The following is a 9,589-nucleotide window of genomic DNA, read 5'->3' as shown; positions in this document are numbered from 1 at the left end:
CTAATGGCCGACATCACCACCCAGGCAATCATCACCCCTCAGCTGTGCAGCGGGACCCTCCTGCCTGCCGATGTGGCTGCCGGCGCCTGTGCCAGCGCGAACCCCCAGCCTGTCATGCTGACCTCATCGATGGCAGCGTCCCTGTCTTTTGCTCCCCCAGCCCTCCCAAAGGCTGAGTTAGCCTCTATCATCTGGAATACAGTGTGGCTTCTGTTTTCCTAATTGAACCCTGACTTACTACCTTTATAATGTTTCTCTCTGCTTATGTAGTCTTTGATGAGTCAGAAGGTCCTTGCCACGCTCACAATGTGTGTACTGTGTCTCATCTATATGCACTCTCTGATGGGCAAGGAGGTATGAATTACGACTGAAGCCCTTACCACATGCCTTACACTTATAGGGCCTCTCTCCTGTGTGGACTCTGAGGTGAACACGAAGATCTGAATTCCGACTGAAGTCTTTACCACACTCATCACATTTATATGGTTTCTCTCTGGTGTGATCTCTTTGATGTAAGTGAAAATATGAACTGTAACTAAAGCACTTTCCACACACTTTGCATTTATATGGTTTTTCTCGAGTGTGAACTCAGATGAGTGTGAAGAACAGAGCTATACACAAAATCCTTTCCACACACATTGCATTTGTATGGTTTCTCCCCTGTGTGGACTCTCTGGTGAATGTGAAGGTGTGTACTTTGGCTGAAGCCCTTTCCACACTCATCACACCTATAAGGTTTCTCCCCTGTGTGAAACCTCCAGTGGACTTGAAGAACGGAGCTTGAACTAAAGCACTTGCCACACTCACTGCATTTGTAGGGCTTCTCTCCAGCGTGGACTCTCTGATGGACAAGAAGGTTGGAGCTCTGATCAAAGCCCTTCCCACACTCTTCACTTTTATAGGGCTTTTCCCTGTGTGTACTCCCTGATGAATACAAAGAAGTGACCTAAATCCAAACCCTTTCCCACATGCATCACATTTGTAGGGCATCTCCCTTGTGTGGACTCCATGATGGTTATAAAGGAAGGAGTTGCACCTGAAGCCCTTGCCACATTCTTTACATTTGTAGGGTTTGTTTCCTGAAGGGACTTTCTGATATCTGGGAAGGTCTGAGCTCTGTTTGCAGCCCATAGGCCATTCGTGGAATTCATAGGGAGTCTCGCCAGAGTGAGTTTTACAATGAACGATAAGATCTTGGCTCTGACTAAAGTTCTTTCCATACTGGTCACATTTATAAGATTTTTCTCCTAGGTGAGTGCTGTGATGGACATGAGGATCTGTATCATCTGCAAAGGGCACCCCACAGTTATTACATGTGAAAGGCTGTGGTAATACATGGACTGCATTATGTTGTTCAACTGTTGATTTCATACCAAAGTTTTTCCTGCAGTTGGGATGTCTACCAGGGTCCTCTCCTTTACATTCTTGGGACTCATGATGATCATGTGAGGTCCAGTTGAGGCTGTCATCATGCTGAGCACGTCTGTACAATTTCTCTTCCATGTAAATTCCCTTATATCTTCCCTGAGAGTTCTGGGGCTCGGTCATTATGTTGGCTTTCCTCCACGATTCTGGGGTAAGAACCTGTGTCAGGCTTTGCCATGCTGTGATATCCTGATTTTTGATAATGACATTTGCTACATAGTTTTCATTTTCAGAAATCTGAAGAGACTTGCCTGCTCACTCTTCACAGAGGGAAACATTTTTAAATGTGGGGAACACTCTTCTTGAAGGTTCATGATATAATCCTGACTCCCAGTTAAATCCTGGATCCTTTGTTTCGAAATCTGCCAGCAATGAAGCACTTCTTGTAAAAGGTAATTCAACCCCTTTTCCTGAAGATTCAAAATGTTGTTTTTAATCCCATCTCTTATGAGAAGAAAGAGAATGTGGCTAAGAGACCAAGTCAATCATCTGTCCAGAGGTTTTGAGAAAACGAAATATGATGGGGTGGGAAGTTGTCCCTGGCTTCTATTGACATATGAAACAATTAGAGCCACGGTAATTCTAACCTGTGAGCTGCCAATTGGAAATCAAGTGTTGTAGGGAAATTAAAAGAAATCTTGGCCAGGTGCAGTGGCTCATGCCTGTAATAGCAACACTTTGAGAGGCTGAGGTGGGAGGATCACTCAAGCCCAGGAGATCAAGACCAGGCTGGGCAATATGATGAGATCCCATCTCTACAAAAAAATTAAAAATTGGCTCAGTTTTGCCTATGATCCCAGCCACTTGGAAATCTGAGGTTGGAGGATTGCTTAATCCTGGGAGGCAGAGGTTGCAGTGAGCCAAGATTGTGCCACTGCATTCCAGCCTGGGTGACAGAGCAAGACCTTTCCACCCCTACTCTGCAAAAAAGAAAAAAAAGGAAATCTTAGGAAAAATTTATGAAGGAAGAAATTCACCTCCCTGCTATAAGAGTAGTCGATAAAAAGCCTTTAATAATCTTGCTACAAAAGGTATGGGAAAGGCTCCCATTTTATGTAGTGTGTGTGTGTATATAAATAATACATATTGATGGAGTGTTTTTTATATGTTGGGCAGAGTAAGGGACACAAAGGGTCACAAGAGGTTTCAGAAACAAGCAACAAGTCCTATCTCCTGATGGCTTCCCTTCCTTCACATCACTGTCATATGGAGGACTATCATGTATGTTTGTGTACAACCTGCACAACTGTACATGGTGAGCCTAAAGGGGATGGGGATAAAAAGGCAATGGGGATTGAAATGGGGTAAACATTGTGAAATATGGTCCTGGCGTTGTGCGGGGATGCGTATGTAAACCTCTGAGACAAGCTTTAAGAGACATCCTTTTTATTTTCCCCAAGGTTCTTTGTCTTCATGAAAAGATAGAGACCACTCAGATCCTACAATCCATTTCCTTAAGTTCTGCCCTTTTAAGTTGTTGCAGAATCTCAAACAGCCATGACTATGAAAATGGGGAACAGATACTGTGGCACTGTCAATGGCCTGGCACCCAGGGAAGCAAGACTGTGGTATATAACAAACAGGGGGCTGAGGCAGAAGAGGACGATCATATTCTTGGGATCCTAAGATGGGTTTCAAAATGGCATGAATATCATGGTCAAGTCCCACTGGATACTGCTTCTGGTTCAAGGTCCTTTCTGGGTTGTTTTATTGAAAGTGACTTTAGTTTATAAGATAGTATCAGGGAAAGGGAGACCACGAGCTGCCCTGAATAGGGTTTAAGCAGTGGTTTCCCAATTGTTTTGATTGTAACCCACAGTAAAATCAGCATTGTGACTCAGTAGGAATAGGCACAAACATCAACACAGACTGCTCACTAAAACTTGCTCAGCTGATAGTTACATACTGTGTGCAATGTACTTTGATAAATTCTTTTGTTTTCTGTTCTATTAATCTATTTTGCTTTTTAAAAATTGCTAGTTATGACACAGTAATTTGATTTCAGGACTCACCAAGAGGGTTTTATCCTGCAGTTTGAGAAACAACTGCAGAGATATGCAGATTTATGCAAAAGGTCCTGTGTCTACAGTTTACGCTTTGGTTTCATGAGGTTATTTATTAAAATCACAGGACCTAGGACCAGATTAGGAGGGTTCAAATCCTAGTTCTTCTTATAAGCTGTGTGATTGTGGGCAAGTTATTAATTCTGTGACTCAGTTGTTTCATCCATTGATATGGCTTGGCTGTGTCCCTACCCAAATCTCTTCTCGAATTGTAACTCCCATAATTCCTATATGTTGTGTCTCATAATTCCCACATGTCAGAGCCCCCACACACAGTGCCTACCAGGGCACTGCCTAGTGGAGCTGTGAGAAGAGGGCCACTGTCCTTCAGACCCCAGAATGCTAGATCCACCGACAGCTTGCACCATGTGCCTGGAAAAGCCACAGACACTCAACAGCAGCCCATGAAAGCAGCCAGAAGGGAGGTTATACTCTGCAGAGCCACAGGGGCGGAGCCGCCCAAGACCATGGAAACCCAACATCAGCGTGATCAGGATGCAAGACATGGAGTCAAAGGAGATCATTTTTGAGCTTTAAGATTTGACTGCCCTGCTGGATTTCAGACTTGCATGGGGCCTGTAGCCCATTTGTTTTGGCCAATTTCTCCCATTTGGAACAGCTGTATTTACACAATGCCTGTACCTGCACTGTAGCTAGGAAGTAACTACCTTGCTTTTGATTTTACAGGTTCATAGGTGGAAGAGACTTGGCTTGTCTCAGTTGAGACACTGGACTGTGGACTTTTGAGTTAATGCTGAACTGAGTTAAAACTTTGGGGGACTGTTGGGAGGCATGATTGGTTTTGAAATGTGAGGGCATGAGATTTGGGAGGGTCTGGGGCGGATGATATGGTTTGGCTGTGTCTCCACCCAAATCTCATCTTGAATTGTAACTCCCACAATTCCCATGTGTCATGGGTGGAACCCAGTGGGAAGTGACTGAATTATGGGGGTGGGTCTTTCCTGTGTTGTTCTCATGACAGTGAATGAGTCTCATGAGATCTGATGGTTTTAGAAAGGGGAGTTTCCCTGCACAAGCTCTCTTCTCTTGTCTGCCACCATGTGAGACGTGCCTTTCACCTCCGCTATCATTGTGAGTCATCTCCAGCCACGTGGAACTGTAAGTCCGTTAAACCTTCATATTTTGTAAATTGCCCAGTCTTGGATATGTCTTTATCAGCAGTGTGAAAACAGAGTAATACATCCATAAAAGGGGGATAATAACATCAACTATCTGTATTAGTCTGTTCTCACGTTGCTAATAAAGACATACCTGAGATTGGGTAATTTATAAATGAAAGAGGCTTAATTGACTTACAGTTCCATATGGCTGGGGAGGCCTCACAATCATGGTGGAAGGCAAAGGAAGAGCAAAGGGACGTTTTACATGGTGGCAGGCAAAGAGAAATCTTGTGCAGAACACCCATTTATAAAACCATCAGATCTCATGAGACTTATTCACTATCATGAGAACAGCACGAGAAAGACCCCCCTCCATGATTCAGTTACCTCCTACCAGGCCCCTCCCACAACCTATGGGAATTATGGGAACTACAGTTCAAGATGAGACTTTGGTAGGGACACAGCCAAACCATATCACTATCTTATAAACTAAACTTAGGTAATACCTAACTGTACATGAAACTTTGAGAAATGAAAATGAGGTTGGATATTTATCAAAAAGTAATCAAATAAGCCAACACTTAGATTACACTTACTATATACCCATAAGTGTTGGCTGTTGTAACTTCCAACAAAATCAAAGTTCTCCCATGATTCCATTAACACTGGTTTATCCAGAACATTGGATAAACATTGACTTTTCTCCAGAAGCAACAAATAGATCAAGGTCCTTGGTGGTGTGTGAATTTTATCAGTCTCATTCTGAGAAATATGAGGAAAGAATGAGAGCCTAAATATGTGAGTAGGGGAGGAAGGGCTTACTTCCTGCAATGAATGCCCACAGGCCAGGGGTGGAAGATTTGGGGAGAGCTCCCTCACAAACCCATCACAAGGAGCCACATCCTCACAATGATCTGTAAAAGCTCATTAACTGCAGGGTCCTAACTTGTGCATGCAGCTCTTAGGATTTTTCTCTCCAGTGGTCAAAGTTTCTCTTTGTGGTCTAACTGGAATATTCTATCTGGCTTGAAATGATGATTTGAGGAAACAGGTCCAGTGGTCTGATGCTCAGTTACTCACTCACTGACATGAGGTTCCTGAAGTTTTCCAACATCACATCTTGGTACAGGTTTATCTGGGCTTTATCCAATAGTGCCAGCTCTTCCTTGGTGAGGACAACAGCCACGTCCTTGAATATCACCCTTTCCTAAAACATCAACCACATGCCACATCAATCATCCACACAAATGACTGGTCTTAGTCTGTTTGGGCTGCCTTAATAAAATACCATAGTCTGGGTTAGATTAAACAAACAAAAGAAACTTATTTCTCACAGTTCTGGAGATTGGAAAGTCTAAGATCAAGTACCACCAAGATAGGTTTCATTCAGGTTTCTTCTCTTGGCTTGTAGACAGCTGTCCTCTCACTGTGTCCTTACATGGCAGAGGGAGAATGAGAGCAAGCTCTGTTGAGTCTCTTTTCATAAGGATACTAATCCTATTGAATCAGGGATTCCCAAAGGACAATATTAATCAAATTATAAAATATGGCCCAGGACACAGGCGCAGATAAATCTATACTAAGGTGTTGTGCTGATACATAAGTCCAGTAGTGTTTCATGAGTTCATTTCCCATCACACACCAAGGTTTGGTATTTTCACTTTTTCATGGCAGATTAATCTATTTTTATCATGTTAAAGGAAAGTAAGAAGACAGGGTAACTTAAAGCATTGGCTCCTAGATTCAAAAAACAGAAAAGGGAAGAGGGAGATTATTAGGATAATTTAGAACATTTGGATATCAACTATTAAAAAATAATGGTATCAATGTGAAATTTCCTGAGTATGTTAGCAGTAATGTGGAAATGTAGGAAAATGCTCTTATTCTTAGGAGATATAAACTGACATATTTAGGGATGAATTATAATGATGTCTGCAATTTATCCCAACTGGGTCATCAAAATAAAATATAGATATGTGTGTGTATATACACATATTATGCATATGTTTGTGGTGATTGTTAACAATTGGTGAATCTAGGTGAAGATTACACATTATGCTATTCTTTCATTTTCTCGATAAATTGAAATTTCTTAAAATAAAAGGATGCGGGGAATAATCTGATATTAATAACCATCTCCTAATCAAGACACCAATTTTTACATAAAATATTTCTATCACTGCATATGTCACACTGCTCAGAGTCGAGTATTTACAGATATGTTCTCTCAATAGATTCTGCATCTCTAAATAAAGCAGAGCTTTCAAACGAAAGTTGTAAGCAGTTATAAAGGACTTCAAAAAGAATATGTTACTAACAATTGTCCAATTACCAAAATCTGACAATGATTAAAAACAAAATCTAGGGGAGTCAGCACAGTTGTCCTAATAGCACTGCTCTGTCAGTAACACTACTGTATCCTTCTTCTGTGGGAGGCAACAAAATTGAATTGGAATTAATCATTCAGGAAATACAGATACCCTGAAGCCTACTTGGGGTGGTAGGAATCCTAGGCAGGGAATGCCATAGGATGCAGGTACAAGGACAGCCCCCAAATATTAAGAAACCAAATTTATAAACCAATAAATACATGCAAAACATCTTTAAATCTTTTCCTTTGTGAAGTATTCTTGTAAAACCATCTATGAAATATTCTTGTAAAACCTTGAACCTGAATCTATTCAAGCATCTGGTGCTTCCACTTACAAAAAATACTGTGGATAGAGTAACACACTGAAAGACACCAAAAGGAAGCAAACAAATGCATTCCAAATGTAGGAAAGAACACAGGACACCAAACTTGGTTTCTACGACAAGTCAACAGCAGGAGAGAATAAAGTAGATGGGCAGATTTCTCTAGATTAAAAGACATTATGAGATACAACAACCAACTATATGATAGTATAGACCTTTTTAAGATCCCATTTGAACAAAGCAACTGTCAAAATTTTTTTGAGATAATCAGGGAAATTTGATTATTGTCTGGGTATTAGATAATACCAAATAATTATTGATTATCTCATTAGTCCATTTTTAAGGAAATATATACTGAAATACATAGAGAGTGTGTTAAATTAGATTGCTATTTAGAAATATCCTCTTCCATGCTCTCCAATCTCACTAAAGGACCAGAGTGTGTTTCCTTACCTCTTTAGTTTTGACTTGGCAATGTAACCTGCTCTGGCTACCAAAATGAAGCAAAAGTGATAATGTGCCAGTTCTAAGCCTGGGCCTTGAGAAATCTCACATGCCCACTTGCTCTCTTGCCCCTCTGTCTTTGCTATGAGGACATACCCAAGCTAACCAAAACCAGCAGAGTGCTACCAAATATTCATGGCATTGGCTTTAGGTCCAGGCCAAAACCATTGAGGACACTGTTACAGGAGGCTGGAAAAATGGTGACCTGGGTGATGCAGTGGTGAACATTTGGTGAACTGTTGCTGTAATTTAGAAGATAGAAAATGTACCTAATGAATCTTGGACTTGGGCAAGATGGTTTCCAGGCAGAAGGATAAAAGTGTGAGCTCATTCATTTTAGTTGCATATATAATAAGGTACTATACAAAAGTGATATGCTCAGAGAAAAACCAATACAGTGTAAAATACCATGCCTCTTTCAAATACTTTGGGAAAGAAAAATACTGAAACAGAGATTAAGCAAATCTCTTTGGCAAAAAGTTAATTGTTGAAACTGCATGATGGGTACTGCAAATGGAGGATCATAAGACCCTTTGCCCTTTTTTGTGTATTTTCATCATTAAATTTTTCATGATTAAAAGAAAATCCTTCTGCCACACTGTGATGGTCTTTTTAATGTGTCAATTTGGCTAAGCTACAGTCCTCAGTTATTGAATCAAACACTAATCTAGGTATTGCTATGAAGATAATTTGTAGATGTGATTAAAGTCCATAATCAGTTGACTTTAAGGGAGATTATTCTAACTAATCTGAGTATGTCTGATTCAATAAACTGAAAGGTCTTATGAGCAGAACTGAGGCTTCCCTGGGAGGGGGAGAAATTCCACCCACAGACAGTAGCTTCAGTCTGTGTCCAGGAGTTCCAGCCCACCCTTCCTGAGGGGCTGCCCTATGGATTTTGGACTTGCCTAGTTAGCCCCCATAATCATATAAGCCAATTCCTTACAATAAATCTTTTAAAATATATCTCCTATTGGTCTGTCTTGCTGGTTGAACTCTGACCAATACATACCCATTCAAATCTTGCTACTTATCGAAGTAGACCAGTGACATTTAGAGTATGGTCATGTATATGCTGCCCATGCACTCGGATGCTGCGGCAACACCAAATTGCTATAAAAGTTTCTGAACTTACTTTTGATTCTTTTTCCCTCATGGGGCAGTGACAAGGAGTTCATGGACTGGTACTGATACATGAACTACACTTAGAGTAGCACCAAAGTAGACATCTTGAAATCTGTGAGTTTGTTTCTTCACTTCTATAAAGGGAGTCATATCACCTGCCTCACAAAGTCATTATGAGCAGATAAAGTACCTAATACATAGTAGTCACTCAAAAAATGCTGACCTTCTTTCAGAAAACAGAAGTGTCTCGTTCCTCAGAATGAACAGTATATTTAAAGTGAAAGAAACCCTTAACTTACCTGGAACTTAATCATACCGTCTTCCTTTTGGAAAGGGCAGAATTCTGGAAAAGCAGAACTGCAAAGAAGAAAGAATCCATGAGATCATGGATCCAACAAGTTGTGAATGAACATTGGTTCCTTCCTTATCTGTACAAGTTTCTCACACTTTCTCCTCTCCCTAGATATCATCTCTTCTCACTCTGAACAGACTGAACTCCCACCTCCTCAAGACTTCCCTCGATTCGAACCCAGTCCCTCAATCTCAGACCACTGTGTAACTCCTGTCTCTCTCCTCAAGCTTTTGGGTCAAAACCTGCACATTGTTTTCCATTTCTCAGACTTGTGAATGAACTGACATAGTCTACATCTGAATTCC

The 9,589-nt window shown here is 41.0% G+C and overlaps 1 pseudogene; it reads right to left on the bottom strand.

The window, feature by feature from the left end:
* On the bottom strand, positions 114-9,290 carry ZNF285BP (zinc finger protein 285B, pseudogene; annotated as a pseudogene).

The sequence above is a fragment of the Homo sapiens genome, chromosome 19 (genome assembly GCF_000001405.40).
Source record: "Homo sapiens chromosome 19, GRCh38.p14 Primary Assembly".
Classification (NCBI taxonomy): Eukaryota; Metazoa; Chordata; class Mammalia; order Primates; family Hominidae; genus Homo; species Homo sapiens.
This window is presented reverse-complemented; position numbering and strand designations above follow the sequence as displayed.